Source organism: Homo sapiens, chromosome 2, assembly GCF_000001405.40.
Source record: "Homo sapiens chromosome 2, GRCh38.p14 Primary Assembly".
Taxonomy (NCBI): domain Eukaryota; kingdom Metazoa; phylum Chordata; class Mammalia; order Primates; family Hominidae; genus Homo; species Homo sapiens.
Window position 1 is genome coordinate 72,690,573 of NC_000002.12, and position 20,153 is coordinate 72,710,725.

Here is a 20,153-nt window from a genome sequence, read left to right on the forward strand (position 1 = left end):
TACCAAATGCAGTAGTCTTTCTAAGCAATTCTAAGCAATTCAACAACTTTTTATTTACAGTACTAGTCTCAGTTTCTAAATATAGAGCCTGTTATATCTTCTTAGTTTTTCATGAAGTATAGGCTTTCTTACACTAAAGATTTCTGGGGTACTTGGGGCTCATTTCCACATGTCCACATGGCACAACAATACAGAGAAAGATGCTGGACATGTCAGGTACTCAGTTAACTTAAATTCTTCTGTGGCTTAAATTGTGTCTCCCAAAAATATTTGTTCAAGTCCTCATTCCTAATACCTGTGAATGTGATCTTATTTGGAATTAGGGTCTTTGCAGATGTAATAAAGTTAAATGAGGTCTTCAGGGTGGGCCTTAATCCAATATGATTGGCATATTTAAAAGAAGACGCTGGGCATGATGGCTCACACCTGTAATCCCAATACTTCGAGAGGCTGAGGCAGGAGGATGGTTTGAGCTCTGGAGTTCAAGACCAGCCTGGGAAACATAGCAAGACTCCATCTCTATTATTTAAAATAAAATAAAATAAATACAATAAAAAGAAGAAGAGATACAGACACACAAGGAAAATGCTGTGTGATGAAAAGGGAGAGACTGGAGTTATGCTATCACAAATCAAGGAACACAGAGGATTGCTGGCAGCAACCATAAGCTAGGAGAAAAGCATGAAACAAATTCTCTGTGAGCACTGAAAAAGGAACCAATCCAGCCTGGATTTTAGATTTCTAGACTCCAGACCTGTGAGATAATAAATTTCTGTTGTTTTTTAAAGTCACCTAGTTTGTAGTACTTTGTTACAGCAGCCCTAGGAAATTAATAAATCTACCGAGAAATAGAACTATTAACGGAGGGACCAAAATTTAAAAGAAAAAATCTGAACACACAACATAGTTTAGCTTATAGAAAATACCATTATGAATATGAAGTTGAATAGGTTAATCAATAATATTTTATAAATAACTTTTATTCTATTTCTCATTAATATCTCAGAAAACAGAACTATATGGGTAAAAAAAATTTAACAGGAACGCTTATAAAAAGAAACTATAAACTAGCAGGGCTTCTCTGGGATCAATACAATGTTGTATATCTATTTTTTTTTTTTTTTTTGAGATGGAGTTTCGCCCTTGTCGCCCAGGCTGGAGTACTGTGGTGCAATCTCAGCTCACTGCAACCTCGGCCTCCTCAGTTCAAACGATTCTCCTGCCTCAGCCTCCTGAGTAGCTGGGATTACGGGTGCCCACCACCCCACCTGGATTTTTTTTTTCTATTTTTAGAAGAGATGGGGTTTCACCATGTTGGCCAGTCTGGTCTTGAAATCCTGACCTCAGGTGATCCGTCTGCCTCAGCCTCCCAAAGTGCTGGGATTACAGGTGTTTGCCACTGCGCCCAGCCCCTGTTCCCCTCTTTATTCTCTCCATAGCAAATACCACCATCTGACATACTGTATAGTAACTTGTTTTTAACATATACACAATAGCTATGTGTTGATTGAAAGAATAAACGAACAAAGGTAATCTTTCACACATAGAATAAGTTAATGAGGTGAAAGTGTTAATTATTATATGCTTACTAGATGATTACTGATATGATCACTAATTGATTAGCATATGCTTACTATATGATTATTATATGCTTACTGTATGATTACTGATATGATTACTATATGATTACTAATTCCTTCTCTATTATTCCTGCTTCTCTTTTACAACTTTCACTACACTAAGAAGTGTATAGAATTTTCCTCTTCCTTTTTCACCATATTCTTTTTTTTTTTTTTTGAGACAGAGTCTCGCTCTGTCGCCTAGGCTGGAGTGCAGTGGCACGATGTCGGCTCACTGCAAGCTCTGCCTCCCGGGTTCATGCCATTCTCCTGCCTCAGCCTCCTGAGCAGCTGGGACTACAGGCGCCCACCACCATGCCCGGCTAATTTTTTGTATTTTTAGAAGAGACGGGGTTTCACCATGTTAGCCAGGATGGTCTCCATCTCCTGACCTCGTGATCCACCCACCTTGGCCTCCCAAAGTGCTGGAATTACAGCCGTGAGCCGCTGCGCCTGGCCTTTTTCACTATATTCTTTATCAATTAAGAATGCTTCACGTAAGATGAAGCTTCCTTTTAGTAATTGACCCATTTGAAACTCTAAGATGGTCCTTAGAAGAAAGAGGCACTCACTAGGATTTAGTGGCTGACTACAATCCAGCTGCATATTTCTCTCTGTGCAAAATATTCTACAAAAGCCCAAGAGAGGAAACTAAGTGGAATCTTAGGTTTCAAACTTCTTTTACATGAAGTCAATACTAATATCCTCTGGGCAAGTCCTATTTGACCCAACTAAAACTCTAGGAGAAAGAAAAACAGATTATCAACTCCCCTAAACTATCCTTAAAGAAGATTAAGTCAAAAATATGGTTTAGAAATAAGTATCTTTGTGACTGAAACACTGAGCTTTAATACCAGAGGAAACTGAAGAAATTGTATGAAATTCAAGAAAAGCTCAAAAATGGTAGGCAAACAGCTCTAGCATTTTCTCTTTCAGTTCCCTATATATTCCCTGCCCCCACATCCAAAGAAGGAAAAGAAGCAATCTGAGTTAACAAAAAAATATAACACATCTCAGAAAACACTTAAAAGCAAAACAGACTCAGATGGTCTCACCTGGAAAACTAGAATATCTCCATATGTATAAGGTTTGCAGGTTTTTTTTTTTTCTTTGAGACGGAGTCTTTCTCTGTCATCCAGGCTGGAGTGCAGTGGTGCAATCTCAGCTCACTGCAAGGCTTGCAATTTTTTAAAAGGAGTTCATAAAAGCATGTTCTGAATAATAAAACGTATTTATTTTCCTAATCCAGGATCTGCTGTGTATAGCTCTTTTCTTTGCCTATGAAGTTGTTTAAATTATGCCTCTCCACCTCAAGTATAATTTAGATGACAAAAAATCTTACAGTGAATCCCCAAAGCCATCCTTTGAATCATTCTGAAAAATAAAAGGCCAATGCACAAGATCAAACAATACTTTATTATCTGGAGCAGAAATTCAACATGATGAGATACATCAAGGTTTGGTCGGGTTACTTAAATCCATAAATCAATATTATTGTGGCTGCTTTGTACTGATATTTAGTACCCATGCTACATTTTGTAATCCCTAATCTGATACCTATTCTCTCGGATTCACCCATGAATTAGAAACCTGGTTTACTTCCCTATTTATCTACTTACCTTCCTCTTTCCACAAACTTTTCTTCCTTTTTTCTTTTTTTTTTTCCTTGTGCCACTCATCCTTACTCCTCTAAATTTCTTATCCTTTCTGCTTTCCTAAAAAAATATATCCAAATCCCTTTAAGGAACTGATGGTTTCTCTATCCTAACTTGTCATAAAAGCAGGGTGAGGAAATGTGACATGAGATACTAATGTTGTCTACATTGCTTTTGAGGAAGTGTTGATCTATGCCTATGATATAAATGCATATTTCTTTCTAAAAGAATGTCCTAAGGAGACCTTGAATCTAAAAGCTCTGGATACAAATTTTCTGCTTTGAAAAGAGCTTTCTTCCTTCAAGAATGAACTGGTGGGGCATGGTAGCTCACACTTGTAATCCCAGCACTTTGGAAGAGGCATTCACAGGCAGATCACTTGAGGTCAGGAGCTTGAGACCAGCCTGGCCAACATGGGAATCCCATCTCTACTAAAAATACTAAAATTAGCCAGACATGGTGGTGGGCGCCTGTAATCCCAGCTACTCAGGAAACTGAGGCAGGAGAATCGCTTGACCCTGGGAGGCGGAGGTTGCAGTGAGCTGAGATGGTGCCACTGTACTACAGCGTGGGTAACAGAGCAAGACTCTGTCTCAAAAAAATAAAAAATAAAATAAAAGAGTGAACTTCACAGATCTTATCTCAGTGACTCACAAATCTAGTTTCAGAAGATAGATAATTCTTCCACCTCCATATTTTTGGTCCAAGTTAGATTTTTAAACAAATGTTCAATGGGAATGGAGCACTGACATGTAATACTATTATTTCCATATGGGTTTTGTTGTTATTGTTGTTTGAAGGGGAAGGAAAATAAAAAGACTTTCTTTTGCATTAAAATGCCATAGGAACAAAGGAGTTGCTAAAGAATCTTGCATGTTCCACAGGCTGTGTATATACACATGGCCGGAGTCACCTTTCCTTTTGCAGGCTTACATATTGCTAAGATAGACAGGTTTCAGCCCTTCCATTTGTAGCAAGACATTTTCTCTGTATGTCATTTGGCAGATGCAGTTGTGGGACTCTGCCAATTCACCCTGGAGCCCTCCATTTTAATCAGTATCACATAAAGTTTAACACATGCTTTGAAATATGCACCAGATTCAAGGCTTTGCCTGGAGACGGGGGTGGGGATGCTTGCTACAAAAACACATACCATCCCAGCCGCTACTCCACAAGCAATTATCTTTCACCTTTGGCTGAACCAGGAGAACTGTCAACACAGGCACACTGCCAACCAGGGGAGAGGTTACAGGGTCAAAGCGGGAAAGACGGCTGGATGCTTTGGGGTTCAGCTCGGACATCTGTTAATCTCTCTGGCTACATGGAAGAAGAATTCTCTTTAGTCACCAAGACACAGCTATAAGAGAAGTAGCTGAGAGTACACTAGAATTTTAGCAAGGCTTTTCTAGTAGTAAACTTAGTAAAAGCACAAAGCTCCTGCAGTACAATAGGACAACCACGTATGAAAAGCCAAAGAACTCAGATCAGCAAATTCACGTACATCAGGAAACTGCAACTGTGAACTGGGCTGCGTAGACAAGAGGATTAAAACAAACCTCATATGTTAGGAATAAACACTTGTTTTCTTCATCATAAATACAAGTTAAAAATATATGAAAGTATTCTTTAAGGTTTTTTTTTGAACAGAGAAACCAAAGAAAAGTTGTCATTGATACTTTTTTCAAAAAAAGAAAAATTATTAAAGCATAGATGAAGTGTCTCCATAAGTATCCAAAAATAAACAAATAGCTAAAGCAGAGATGAAAGTCAGGATCTCCCTAACTCCAGGATACAAACCCCCAAACACAAACACAGACACCCACATAGACAGAGTTAAGATCTTTCCTAAAATGCCTATTCTAAAATATATGAATATTGTACCTCTTCCACAAGTAAAACTCATCTCTCATAACAAGAATAAAAAAAAATTATCTTAGGTGTCATTTACTAACCATTTCTGAAGGCTAGCCTAGATCTTTGCATTGAAAAGGGCTCTAAGGCTCACTCCAGTGCAGTGGGAAGAGTGCCATGCTGAATCACATCTGTCAGGGCTGACACTAATGGACATAACAATACCACTTGTGGCACTTAACTATTCCACATCAGTTAGACCAATGGCTCCGAAGTTTCAAGGTTATCCAAAAACAATCTACTGGTGTATATATATATAATTTTCATCTTAAAAAAAAGAAAGAAACTAAGTTACTAACATTTGATTTTAAAATAACAATGATACCCTTCCTTACTCTCCATATGTCAGTCATGTATCACATACAGAATTCAAACTATACTATACTGGGGAAAGACAATGCAGAATAATTGACAGTAATATTCTCATTTAGTTATTTTCTTTCAGTTTATTGTGCTATATTGCAGATTATAGGTGCTCAGATAAATAAAACTAGATTATCCACTTTTAAACATGTACAAAATGGACAAATGGCCTTAAAATATTCCTAAAATATTCCTGTGGTTTGTAAATAATGCTAATAGTAGCACATGTAAATGACAAGAAAATAGCAAGGTTAATACCTATCTTCAACTTGATGTGCAAAGACCATTATAATAACGGTCCCCAGTAGATCATCTCTCCCTGTGCCCATGTGCCTTTGCAATGTGACACTGCTGCTTCTTTCATCAAGAGATTAGAGCCATTTCTCCATGTTCTTGACTCTAAATTGGCTGTGGGACTTGTTTTGGCTAATACAATGTAGTGGACATTGTCAGATTCTGGAGACTGGGTTTGAAGAGGCACAGCAGTTTGATTTCTCTCCCTCTCCAAACCATAACGCCACCATGCAATGATGAAGCAGTTTAGTCTACTGGGGAATAAGACACCATGTGGAGAACTGAGATAACCTATCCAACAACTAACACCAACTGCCAGCCAGGAACATGAGTGATTCCTGGGGAGGCCAGAAGACAAATTCCCTAGCTGTGCCCAGACTGAAGCGCTATCTATGGTATCATAAAAAAATGATAAGTCAGTATTGTTTTAAGCCATTAAGTTTGGGGTGGTTTGTTACACAGCAATGAATAACTGATACACCTGCTAAGAGCCCCTGGTCAAATATATTATGTGGTAAATATAATGATCAGATATGACAGAAAAGAACATACAAAATTTGAAATTATCAAGAAGGCTATCTGTACAAGGAATTTAAATGTATTATTAACAATGGACCTCTCTCTAAATGTCTATCCTGCCTTAACATACTAGCTAATGAGAGTAGTACATGTGTGTATGATTTTTATATACAGATATAGATATAGATATAGATATAGATATAGATATAGATATAGATATGGGGTATACACACACAAAAATATTTTATTGATGGCAGCCCATAATCAAAAAGGTTTGTAGCCACTGACTGAGCTAATGAGAATAGTACACATATATCATTTATAAATACAGATATTGGGCACAAATGTCCCACTTCCTTTGAAGAAAATTCAAAATTTTTTAAGAAAATCTCTTAAAAATTTTTGAATATTCCTAGTAAGCTGCCATGCACTAGGTCATGTAGTAAAGCTGAAAAAAAAGAATCTCTTCAGGTTTGGCATGGTGGATCCTGCCTGTAATCCCAGAACTTTTGGAAGCCAAGGTAGGCAGATCGCTTGAACTCAGGAGTTCAAGACCAGCCTGGGCAACAAAAAAGACCTATCTCTACAAAAAATACAAAAATTAGCCGGGCATGGTGGTGCATGCCTGTGGTTCCAGCTACTCAGGAGGTTGAGGTGGGAGGATGGCTTGAGCCTGGGAGGCAGAGGTTGCAGTAAGCCAAGATTGTACCACTGCACTCTAGCCTGGGCAACAGAGCCAGACCCTGCCTGTCTCACCTCTATTTCCAAAAATTAGAAATTCCTAACTATGCCAGAAAGTAAGAGTCTCCATAGTTCTAATATTCTTTTACTAATAGAATGCGTCTGCACTTTATAATATTGTGCATACTCCACCATCCCACAATATTTTACTTACTACACTAATATCACTACAACTAAGATAGTGATCTCAACCAACTGGTAGAAAGAATGACAAAGAGTGTTAAATCTAATCATGCCCCTTTCTAGCCCTAACTTAAAACCCTCAGGGACCTATATATAAAGACCGAATTTCTTAGCATGGCATATTTCTATATTAGATCAATGGCAATATCATTCAAAGAGACAGGAAATAAGAGAAGAAAAGCATGTGGTGGTTTGGTGATGGGGAGGGGGAGTACAGTGATACAGCCAATGAAAGGAGAACCTTGGGCATGTCAAGTGCAAAGTGGAGTCACTGGAGAGGGGAAGATTGAAAAATAAAGGGAGGAGAAAGAGGAATTAACTGACAGTACAAGGAAATGACACAGAGCACAGGTGGAAGAAATAGCCTTAACCAGAAGGAATCACCGCTTCCTCTGAGAATGGAATTAAAGCAATAAAGAATGGTGGAGACAGATAATTAAGGAACAAGAGTGCTGAAAGCCAAGAGAATTTCTGCCTAATAGCCCTCAGTTTCTCTATGACATTGGTTAAGAGATAAGGTTATCGATAAAGAAAAAGGGAGCATCTCTGTAAAGAAGGAGGTAAACTCTTCACCAAAGTAAAATGCCTTTTCATGTCACACTGAATAATATTAACATTTAGATGAATACCAATTTTATGCTTACTCATACTATATTATCTCTAACTATTTCAAGTCAAAATTAGAACATTTTTCATTGTTATCTTGCCCTTCTCTATTTCTTGTGTACTAACTGTACAACAGAAATAAGGAGCAAGAAAAAAATAAGTGGCAAAAGCTTGAGAAGTTATAGCTAAACCAACGTCTGAAAATACAACCTTATCCAATTTTACCACTGCCGACAGCAAAATGAAATATAGGTCAATTTATTCTCTGACACCAATCTATTATCTAAACTTGGCTACTCAGAAAAGTATACCAACATCTTGAACCTATTTGTTAATATGTTAGTGAGGTTAGCACCCATTTTCACTAATGGTATAAAATTAAACTGAGATGCTTACAATTTTATTCAATCTTTTCTACTACATACTCTTCACAAATCATGAAGAAACTAGAAAAGGAACATCCCAGAATATACTACTGATTCTGACATTGATACGGACCTTAATAATCTAGAGGGCTCTCACAAGAACATATATCTATTTCAGAGAGTGTCTAAATCCCCTGACATTTTATGTGCACATGGTAATTTTTCTAAAAAAGAAGGTTCATGAGTTTCACTACATTCTCAAAAAGTTTACATCCCTAAAATGCTTATGAACTATTGCTACAGATAGCTCCCTTCTCCAAAGTTAATAGAAGAAACTCTGCTTGAAGACGTATCAAGAAAGTCAAACATGGCCGGGCGCGGTGGCTCACGCCTGTAATCCCAGCACTTTGGGAAGCCAAGGCGGGTGGATCACGAGGTCAGGAGTTCAAGAACAGCCTGGCTGAGATGATGAAACCCTGTCTCTACTAAAAATACGAAAAATTAGCTGGGCATGGTGATGGGTACCTGTAATCCCAGCTACTCAGGAGGCTGAGGCAGAGAATCACTTGAACCCAGGAGGCAGAGGTTGCAGTGAGCCAAGATCGCGCCACTGCATCCCAGCCTGGGCGACAGAGTGAGACTCCGTCTCAAAAAAAAAAAAAAAAAGAAAGAAAGTCAAACAATACATGCCCCATTAGGCCACAGACTTCTTCATTAGGGAAGCTGGGAGAGCCATATGTTTAGTAGACTAAGAAAAGCTGAAGACACTCTGTTGGAAAGTAGGCTGGACTATTTTTTGGCATTTGTTTGCTTTCTTATATGGTTTATTTAGAGGTAAAGGAAAGGTACAAATTAATAACAGACTTTAGCCTGATTAAAAAAAACAATGTTATAGTACTGAAAAACAGATAATCATTACCCTCAAATCCTCTGGCACCAGGGTAAAATTACCAAATCCAAGGGCAGGATAGCCCGCAAAAGTAGGCTAAGACCACCATGGTTCAAGATAGCTTTTAATGGCACTACACACAAAATCTAAGCTAAAAATATGGCTTTCTATATACAGTCATCCCTCAGTATCCACAAGAGATTAGTTCCAGGACCTCTCTGCAAATACCAGTATCTGTGGATGCTCAAGTCCCTTACCTAAAATGGTGTAACATTTGCATATAACCTATGTACATCCTCCTTTATATTTTAAATCATCTCTAGATTACCTATAATATCTAACACAATGTAAAAACTATGCAAATAGTTGTTATACTATATTGCTTTTATTTGTAGTATTTTTATTGTTATATTGTTGTTTTTTATTGTTTTGGTTTTCTACGAATATTTTCATCGGCCACTGGCTGAATCTGTGGATTTGGAGGGATGGCTGCATCCTGTTAGATACAAAGACCACAGAAACACACACACACACACACACACACACACACACACAAAGTTATCCGTGTCAACCACCAGACTAGAAGACTTTGAGAGAGTAAGGGCTATTCCCAGTTTTTTAAATCCTGACCAAATTTCTTAAGGAAATTGAAGAACAGAAAAATCTATACATTTAGAGACAATCTTCTTACTAAGCTAACAGCTGTCACGTGAATTCCAGTTTTGTTATTTGCCTCATTTTCTTCTCTGCTTAGAGGTTACAGTGAGTTCCTCAACACATATATAAAATATTTCATTTGTTCAATCAGTAATGGGGTCGAAATTGTATGTTTAAAATTCAGTGGTTACAGAGTTTCAGTTTGAGAAAATGAAAAAGTTCTGGAAATGGACAGTGTTGACGACTGCACAACCATGTGAATGTTCTTAAAGCCACATAACTGTATACTTAAAAATGATTAAAATGGGGCCAGGCGCAGTGGCTCACACCTGTAATGCCAGCACTTTGGGAGACCGAAGCAGGCAGATCACCTGAGGTCAGGCCTTGCCAATATGGCAAAACCCCATCTCTACTAAACATACAAAAATTAGCCAGGCATGATGGAGGGTGCCTGTAATCCCAGCTACTCGGGAGGCTGAGGCAAGAGAATCGCTTGAACTTGGGAGACAGAGGTTGCAGTGAGCCGAGATGGTGCCACTGCACTCCAGCCTGGGCGACTCTGTCTCAAAAGAAAAAGATTAAAATGGTAACTTTTATGTAATATATATTTTACCACAATAAAAAATCCATATACTGGTAGGTACAGAGCGGTGTTCACTGGAGGAGAATCAAGATAAAACTGTACCTGGCCAGGTGCGGTGGCTCACGCCTGTAATCCCAACATTTTGGGAGGCTGAGGAAGGTGGATCATGAGGTCAAGGAGATCAAGACCATCCTGGCCAACATAGTGAAACCCCATCTCTACTAAAAATACAAAAATTAGCTGGGCATGGTTGTTGTGCCTGTAATCCCAGCTACTCTGGAGGCTGAGGCAGGAGAATCACTTGAACCAGGAAGTCAAAGGATGCAGTGAGCCGAGATCGTACCACTGCACTCCAGCCTGGTGACAAAGCAAGACTCCATCTTCAAAAAAAAAAAAAAAAAAGCTGTACCTAAGAGAAAAAATTCCACCTGGGATTTCAAAGATAAATTGTATCTAGAGATATCAAAGTTGAATATAATAGTCATAGGTCTCATCAGCAAAGTAAACACCTAAGAAAGGCAGGAAAATATTAAAACTCTTAAAATATCCATGGAGAGTCTCTGTCCCTAAATGCATATGTCAAAAAAGAAAAGCAAGGCAGTACACCTAGGTTCTGTGGGAACAAAAAGATGAAATCAATTCAGATTCATGTCCTCAAGAAATTGTCAATAAATGATTATCATAAGGAATTCTACTTCCCGGAGTCTATCTTACCTACAGGTTTCCCTCCTCCAAATACCTGCCCCAGAGCTACTTTGTCACCTAGTATTCTGCAAGTGAGTCCTATGTAATTTAAAGTCCACATTCTTCATGGTGGTGTGCCATAGCCAGAACATATCTTAACCATCAGCACTGCAAACTGTTTTTAAAAACAAGGGCTTTCGAATGTTCTACTTCCCTTCCAGTTAACCTCTCACTGGTACAGAAGGCAATTATCTCCCATGACAAGCCACTTGTATTTCTTTTTTTTTTTTTAATTATACTTTAAGTTTTAGGGTACATGTGCACATTGTGCAGGTTAGTTACATATGTATACATGTGCCATGCTGGTGCGCTGCACCCACTAACTCGTCATCTAGTATTAGGTATATCTCCCGATGCTAACCCTCCCCCCTCCCACCACCCCACAACAGTCCCCAGAGTGTGATATTCCCCTTCCTGTGTCCATGTGATCTCATTGTTCAGTTCCCACCTATGAGTGAGAATATGCGGTGTTTGGTTTTTTGTTCTTGCAATAGTTTACTGAGAATGATGATTTCCAATTTCATCCATGTCCCTACAAAGGACATGAACTCATCATTTTTTATGGCTACATAGTATTCCATGGTGTATATGTGCCACATTTTCTTAATCCAGTCTATCATTGTTGGACATTTGGGTTGGTTCCAAGTCTTTGCTATTGTGAATAATGCCGCAATAAACATACGTGTGCATGTGTCTTTATAGCAGCATGATTTATAGTCCTTTGGGTATATACCCAGTAATGGGATGGCTGGGTCAAATGGTATTTCCAGTTCTAGATCCCTGAGGAGTCGCCACACTGACTTCCACAATGGTTGAACTAGTTTACAGTCCCACCAACAGTGTAAAAGTGTTCCTATTTCTCCACATCCTCTCCAGCACCTGTTGTTTCCTGACTTTTTAATGATTGCCATTCTAACTGGTGTGAGATGGTATCTCATTGTGGTTTTGATTTGCATTTCTCTGATGGCCAGTGATGATGAGCATTTTTTCATGTGTTTTTTGGCTGCATAAATGTCTTCTTTTGAGAAGTGTCTGTTCATGTCCTTCGCCCACTTTTTGATGGGGTTGTTTGTTTTTTTCTTGTAAATTTGTTTGAGTTCATTGTAGATTCTGGATATTAGCCCTTTGTCAGATGAGTAGGTTGTGAAAATTTTCTCCCATTTTGTAGGTTGCCTGTTCACTCTGATGGTAGTTTCTTTTGCTGTGCAGAAGCTCTTTAGTTTAATGAGATCCCATTTGTCAATTTTGTCTTTTGTTGCCATTGCCTTTGGTGTTTTAGACATGAAGTCCTTGCCCATGCCTATGTCCTGAATGGTAATGCCTAGGTTTTCTTCTAGGGTTTTTATGGTTTTAGGTCTAACGTTTAAGTCTTTAATCCATCTTGAATTGATTTTTGTATAAGGTGTAAGGAAGGGATCCGGTTTCAGCTTTCTACATATGGCTAGCCAGTTTTCCCAGCACCATTTATTAAATAGGGAATCCTTTCCCCATTGCTTGTTTTTCTCAGGTCTGTCAAAGATCAGATAGTTGTAGATATGCGGCGTTATTTCTGAGGGCTCTGTTCTGTTCCATTGATCTATATCTCTGTTTTGGTACCAGTACCATGCTGTTTTGGTTACTGTAGCCTTGTAGTATAGTTTGAAGTCAGGTAGTGTGATGCCTCCAGCTTTGTTCTTTTGGCTTAGGATTGACTTGGCGATGTGGGCTCTTTTTTGGTTCCATATGAACTTTAAAGTAGTTTTTTCCAATTCTGTGAAGAAAGTCATTGGTAGCTTGATGGGGATGGCATTGAATCTGTAAATTACCTTGGGCAGTATGGCCATTTTCACGATATTGATTCTTCCTACCCATGAGCATGGAATGTTCTTCCATTTGTTTGTATCCTCTTTTATTTCCTTGAGCAGTGGTTTGTAGTTCTCCTTGAAGAGGTCCTTCACATCCCTTGTAAGTTGGATTCCTAGGTATTTTATTCTCTTTGAAGCAATTGTGAATGGGAGTTCACTCATGATTTGGCTCTCTGTTTGTCTGTTGTTGGTGTATAAGAATGCTTGTGATTTTTGTACATTGATTTTGTATCCTGAGACTTTGCTGAAGTTGCTTATCAGCTTAAGGAGATTTTGGGCTGAGACGATGGGGTTTTCTAGATATACAATCATGTCGTCTGCAAACAGGGACAATTTGACTCCCTCTTTTCCTAATTGAATACCCTTTATTTCCTTCTCCTGCCTAATTGCCCTGGCCAGAACTTCCAACACTATGTTGAAACCAAGCGGACCTAATAGACATCTACAGAACTCTCCACCCCAAATCAACAGAATATACATTTTTTTCAGCACCACACCACACCTATTCCAAAATTGACCACATACTGGGAAGTAAAGCTCTCCTCAGCAAATGTAAAAGAACAGAAATTATAACAAACTATCTCTCAGACCACAGTGCAATCAAACTAGAACTCAGGATTAAGAATCTCACTCAAAACCGCTCAACTACATGGAAACTGAACAACCTGCTCCTGAATGACTACTGGGTACATAACGAAATGAAGGCACAAATAAAGATGTTCTTTGAAACCAACGAGAACAAAGACACAACATACCAGAATCTCTGGGATGCATTCAAAGCAGTGTGTAGAGGGAAATTTATAGCACTAAATGCCCACAAGAGGAAGCAGGAAAGATCCAAAATTGACACCCTAACATCACAATTAAAAGAACTAGAAAAGCAAGAGCAAACACATTCAAAAGCTAGCAGAAGGCAAGAAATAACTAAAATCAGAGCAGAACTGAAGGAAATAGAGACACAAAAAACCCTTCAAAAAATTAATGAATCCAGGAGCTGGTTTTTTGAAAGGATCAACAACATTGATAGACCGCTAGCAAGACTAACAAAGAAAAAAAGAGAGAAGAATCAAATAGACGCAATAAAAAATGATAAAGGGGATATCACCAACGATCCCACAGAAATACAAACTACCATCAGGGAATACTACAAACACCTCTACGCAAATAAACTAGAAAATCTAGAAGAAATGGATAAATTCCTGGACACATACACTCTCCCAAGACTAAACCAGGAAGAAGTTGAATCTCTGAATAGACCAATAACAGGAGCTGAAATTGTGGCAATAATCAATAGCTTACCAATCAAAAAGAGTCCAGGACCAGATGGATTCACAGCCGAATTCTACCAGAGGTACAAGGAGGAACTGGTACCATTCCTTCTGAAACTATTCCAATCAATAGAAAAAGAGGGAATCCTCCCTAACTCATTTTATGAGGCCAGTATCATTCTGATACCAAAGCCAGGCAGAGACACAACAAAAAAAGAGAATTTTAGACCAATATCCTTGATGAACATTGATGCAAAAATCCTCAATAAAATACTGGCAAACTGAATCCAGCAGCACATCAAAAAGCTTATCCACCATGATCAAGTGGGCTTCATCCCTGGGATGCAAGGCTGGTTCAATATACGCAAATCAATAAATGTAATCCAGCATATAAACAGAGCCAAAGACAAAAACCACAATTATCTCAATAGATGCAGAAAAAGCCTTTGACAAAATTCAACAACGCTTCATGCTAAAAACTCTCAATAAATTAGGTATTGATGGGACGTATTTCAAAATAATAAGAGCTATCTATGACAAACCCACAGCCAATATCATACTGAATGGGAAAAAACTGGAAGCATTCCCTTTGAAAACTGGCACAAGACAGGGATGCCCTCTCTCACCACTCCTAAGCCACTTGTATTTCTAAAATGATATTTTCTGTTTTCAAAAATTTACAGATACTTTAAAGTTCAAATAAAGATCCATTATCACTGTTCTGTTCTAATGGCTAACTACACACAGAGAGCTCAATGACTGGCTAACTTCATACACACACGTGCATACATACACACACACGTGCAAGTAAGCACCACAACCTGACAAAGCCTCTCCTATCCCCTCACACAACTGTCCTAATCTGATGATAATTTCCTCCTCTGCACACACACTCATGCATGCGCACACACACACACACACCCAATAAAAAGGAACAACTTAGGTGGCCACAAGACCTACACAATTCTTTTCATTTACAAAATTTTAACTTTTCTATGTTTTGGGTTATGCGCTCATTTCTCTGTTGAGATCTTAAACAAGAGGGAATAAAAAAAGTGCCTCATTCCCAATCACTGAGTAGCCTAACAATAATTAATTAAACTTTATGGCAGTCCTCATTACCTGTTGAATGTGCTTCCCAGCCTATATTTCTGATCCACTTCATTATCAATGACCAGAGAAAAGAATAAACCAAACTTCATTGGGATAGAAGAATAAATGTATCAGTTACCTAGAAAATATGCTACATATTTATTGTTCTAACAAGATATTTTTTAAAATTTGGTCAAGTCCTTCTTCACTTATATTAATACTATATGAATGCATCCCTTCTGGATAATTCTTTGCAAAGCACTAAACAAGACAGATAGATACACATGATATTCACAAGAAGACACTTGTGAACAGATTTCTGGAGGAGAATAATCACTTTCCAATGAAATACTTTCCCAGAGTCATTCACCCCGCCAAAAAAAACCAGCTGAAAGGTGTGTGTGTCATGGTCAGGAGGCTGGGACAAGAGGACATAAGGAATGTAATTGTCTGGTTGAAAGGTTAACTTGCCTTCTTTTTTGAAGACAAGGTCTCACTCTGTCACCCCAGCGGCAGTGCAGTGGGTGCAACCATAGCTTACTGCAGTCTCCATCTCCTGGGCTCAAAGCGATCCTCCTGCCTCAGCCTTCCAAGTAGCTGGGACTGCAGGCATGTGCCACTACACCCAGATAATATTTTTTTTGTTTTTTTTAGAGACAGGGTCTCACTATGTTGTCCAGGCTAACCTGCTTTATTTCTTTTGGGTAACTATCATCAGCTGAAACTCTGCCTTGGATTATCTCTCAGAGATTTTTACTTTTCTGTACTTTGTTATCATTACATTACTTTTAGCCTAGGACGACATTCAGACTATGGCCTCGTGGAATGGATTTTTAAAAACAGCCACAAAATTCTTTGACACTCATCCTATCAAGAGATAGGTGTCTATGACCCCTTCCCTTGAGTATAGCTGTCTTGCAATTGCTTTGACCACTATAACACGACTTCCAAGGCTAGGTCAAATAAAGTGATAAAGCTTCCACTTTGTGCTTGGAGCCCATAAGAAGTTCAACCATAGTGATATTTCCATGCTGTGAGGAAAAGTCACATGTAAGCACTCAAGTCAGCAAATCTAGTCTTTAAACCATCCCAACAAAGGTGCCAGAGTTGTGAATGAAGGGGCCCCCTTCCAGCTCTCAAGCCTAAGCCCGTCTCAGCCTTAAAATCATCCCAGCTGATACCCCAGACGTCTTGGGGACAGAGTCAAATCATCTTCACTGTGCCCTTACCAAATTCCTGACCCACAGATTTTACAAGCATAATAAAATCATTGGTGTTTTTAGCTACTAAGTTTTATGATAATTTGTAATGCAGAAATAGTAACTGGAACATTATATATCCAAATTTAATTCAAATGCACCTTATTATTAAACCTGGAATATCTTACACAGCTTTATATGAGATTTCTCATCCTTCTAAATTCTCCTAACATTTTATCTTTATTTCTTCCATGGCACTTATCATTTTCTACCTTATAGTCCTATTATTCATGTATATTTGTCATTTTTCTTTTCTTTTTTTTTTTTGAGACAGAGTCTTGCTCTGTCACCCAGGCTAGAGTGCAGTGGTGTGATCTCAGCTCACTGCAACCTCCGCCTCCCAGGTTCAAGCGATTCTCCTGCCTCAGCCTCCCGAGTAGCTGGGATTACAGGTGCCAGCCATCACGCCCAGCTAATTTTTGTATTTTTAGTAGAGACTGAGTTTCACCATCTTGGCCAGGATGGTCTTGAACTCCTGACCTCGTGATCCACCTGCCTCAGCCTCCCAAAGTGCTGGGATTACAGGTGTGAGCCACCGCACCCAGCCTATTTTTCATTTTTCATTAGAAAACAAAGTTCCTTTAGGACAATGTGTTTCTGCCTTGAATACCATAATGCCTACCATAGTATTTTACATATTATAAATACTCAATACATATTTCATGAATGAGTGAGTGAGCTAATCAAGATTAGGTGAGAAAGAGACATTAATGCTATAGAGGAAAAGAAATATATAGCAGATAAAAGGAAGAAATAAAATAGTTATTGAAAGGATAAAAACATATTGAAAGGATAAAAACAAACAACATGCATGTGTTTTTCTTTTGGAAATGTGCTGAAAGAATTCACAATGGATCAATACACTTGACTCTACAAAATATTAAATTTTCAAAAAAAAAATTTAGAAAATAAAACCCAGACTAGGGAAATATTAACCTCCTGAAACAAAATAAAAGTCTCTATTGTATAAAGAGTTCAAACCTTTTATGGAAAAAATCAAGTTCCCAATAATATACATGATAGAAACTCACACAAGGAAAGGCAAACATATAAACAATAGATAGGGAAAGGACATGGAAAAATAGCAATGACATGTTAGGATAGTGGAACCACAATCCTGCACAGTTCAAAATATTATTAAAACACTCATAAACCTTCATATATTCCAGGATGATCTTTTAGTAACAGAACTTTAAGCTGATGGAAACCTTAATTTACATGCAGTAAAATTTACATTTGTGTACACAGTTATACGAGTTTTGACAAATGCATACAGTTGTGCAATCACCACCCTAATCAAGATACTAAACAGTTGCATTTACCCATAATATTCCATTTATACAATATTCTAGAAAAGCCAAAACAATGGAGGTGGAGAACACAGATCAGTCATTGCCAGGGGTTATAAATGAAAGGAAGGTTTAACTACAAAGAGTAGTATAAAGGAATTTTGGAAGGTGATAGAATTATTCTCTGCATCCTGTTTGCAGTAGTGGTTATATGAGTCTATACATGTTTTAAAATTCATATACACCAAAGAAAAGTGAACTTTACTATACGTAATTTAAATTAAAAAATTTTCACAGACAGATTCTTGCTCTGTCACCCAGGCTGGACTACACTGCTGCAATCACAGCTCACTGCAGCCTCAAACTCCTGGGCTCAACCCATCCTCCTTCCTCAGCCTCCTGAGTAGCTGGGGTTACAGGCTTGTGCCACCACATCCAGCTAATTTTTTTTTTTTTTTTTTTTTTTTTTTTGTAGAGACAAAGTCTTACTATGTTGCCCACACTAATCTCAAATTCCTGGCCTCAAGTGATCTTCCCACCTCAGCCTCCAAAGTGCTGGGATTATAGACATCAGCCACCAAGTACAGCTTATAATTAAAATTTAAAAAAAAAAACTACTTTAGGGTTATTTGCTAAAACTTCTTCTCAAGATGTAGAAGGATGTGAGAAAACACAAGTCAGCTAGATTTCTCTCTCTTCTAGATCATCCTTAAGTCTATTGCTTTGGCCATCCTGAACATTTTGAATATTTCTTCTTCTTTGCTTATTTGTATTTCTCTATATTTCAGTTCCCTTAGCATTATTTTGATGGGGTTTTCACGCCCAGTAAAGAAAACATCTGCCAGAGGACAAGACTAAAGCACTTGCTGAGAGCACAACAATCCTATGAATTCTCAACTGGGTTTCTCCAGGGCCAGGAAGATCTATCCCCCAGGTTGGAGGGCACATCGCAGGGATTGTTGGAGGGCTCTAGATCCAAACCTCAAACTTGGCTTCACTACATTCTGCACACGTGGCAGGGGTCGAGGGTTGCTGAAAAGAAACTACAGCCACCAGTAAACTCAATTGTTCATATCAAGAAGTAAGTATCAGCACAGAGGAAGATGACAAAATACTGAACTCAATGTATAGCTTAACCACGTAACTGAGAAACACAATCACCAGGCTCATGAAATTATTTGAAGAGACTATAGAAAGGCCAAGAGCCCAAAATTAAATTTCTTTTTTTTAATTTCTTTTTTCTAATCTTTGTTTTTGTATTTTGGACCTGCCACTTCAAGACCAAAATCAAATTTCTAAGAATAAAATAAAAAGATGCATTTAAGTCTCATAAATTTCTACGGTTTAGATTGCTTATGAGAACCAATATAGGGTTTGGTTTCTCACTGACATTAAAGCCATCACTGAAAATATAGCTTTAAAAAAAAACTATTTGTTAACATTGAAATCTGAAAACAATAAGGAAAATCTTTTAAAGTCATATACATAAATTCCCTTCCCAAAGCTCATACTGTCCAAAATAAGTTTATTTAAAAATACTCACAGAGAGATGTAGTTGCAATTGTTCAATAAGAAAATGGAGTTGTGAACAATTGGTACCACCACCGTGCCCAGCTAATTTTTTGTATTTTTAATAGAGACGGGGTTTCACCAGGTGTGAGCCACCGCACCTGGCCAAGTTACTTTTTACCCTAAAGAACAGGAACCAAACTGCCATACTGTCTTTAAACTAGATTTTAAAAATATTGCTTTCTGTGGGGAGCCAAAAAACAAGTTAAATGAACAAAAAATAAATAAATTAGATTTAAGGAATAAATTATTTCTCTTCTCTCACCCCAACTCAATATCAGTAAAGAGACACTGATCTTTTAAATTTAATGGTCATATATGTGTGCTTTTTCACTGAAGTCAGGTTCAAAATATTTCAGAAGCATATGTAATACAAGTAATTTTTTAAGGCAAGCAGAAAAAAAAAATGTTTAAAAATGAGATCCCACCTTACCCCAGACCATTCATTTAGGCAAAAGAGTAAGAAGCAAAAATTGGTACAAATATACAAATATCAAAATCAAGAAGAAAAGAGAAAAGAAAGTAAATCCAGGAACACCAGACCAACTTCTTTGACTACAGAGACCACACTCTGTGCATGTTTTGCATAATATCTAGCATACAAGAGGCTTCAACAATACTTTTACGTGGTGGTGAATACATGGTCTATGTGAACTCAGTCAATAGTACTGTGCCAGATCTAAGTCAAAAGATGTTCTACACC

General features: G+C 38.1%; 1 protein-coding gene across 11 annotated transcripts in view, besides 1 other annotated feature; it reads right to left on the bottom strand.

Moving 5' to 3' along the window:
- Positions 1–20,153, bottom strand: part of EXOC6B (exocyst complex component 6B) — a 650,050-nt gene that overhangs the window by 514,589 nt on the left and 115,308 nt on the right. The gene's annotated exons all lie outside the window — the stretch shown is intronic.
- Positions 4,368–4,662: an enhancer, noted in NCBI's record as "tiled region #2924; HepG2 Activating DNase matched - State 8:EnhW". NCBI's record gives its function as "activates a minimal TATA promoter and a strong SV40 promoter by Sharpr-MPRA in HepG2 cells {active_cell/tissue: HepG2}" and the evidence as "EXISTENCE:reporter gene assay evidence [ECO:0000049][PMID:27701403]".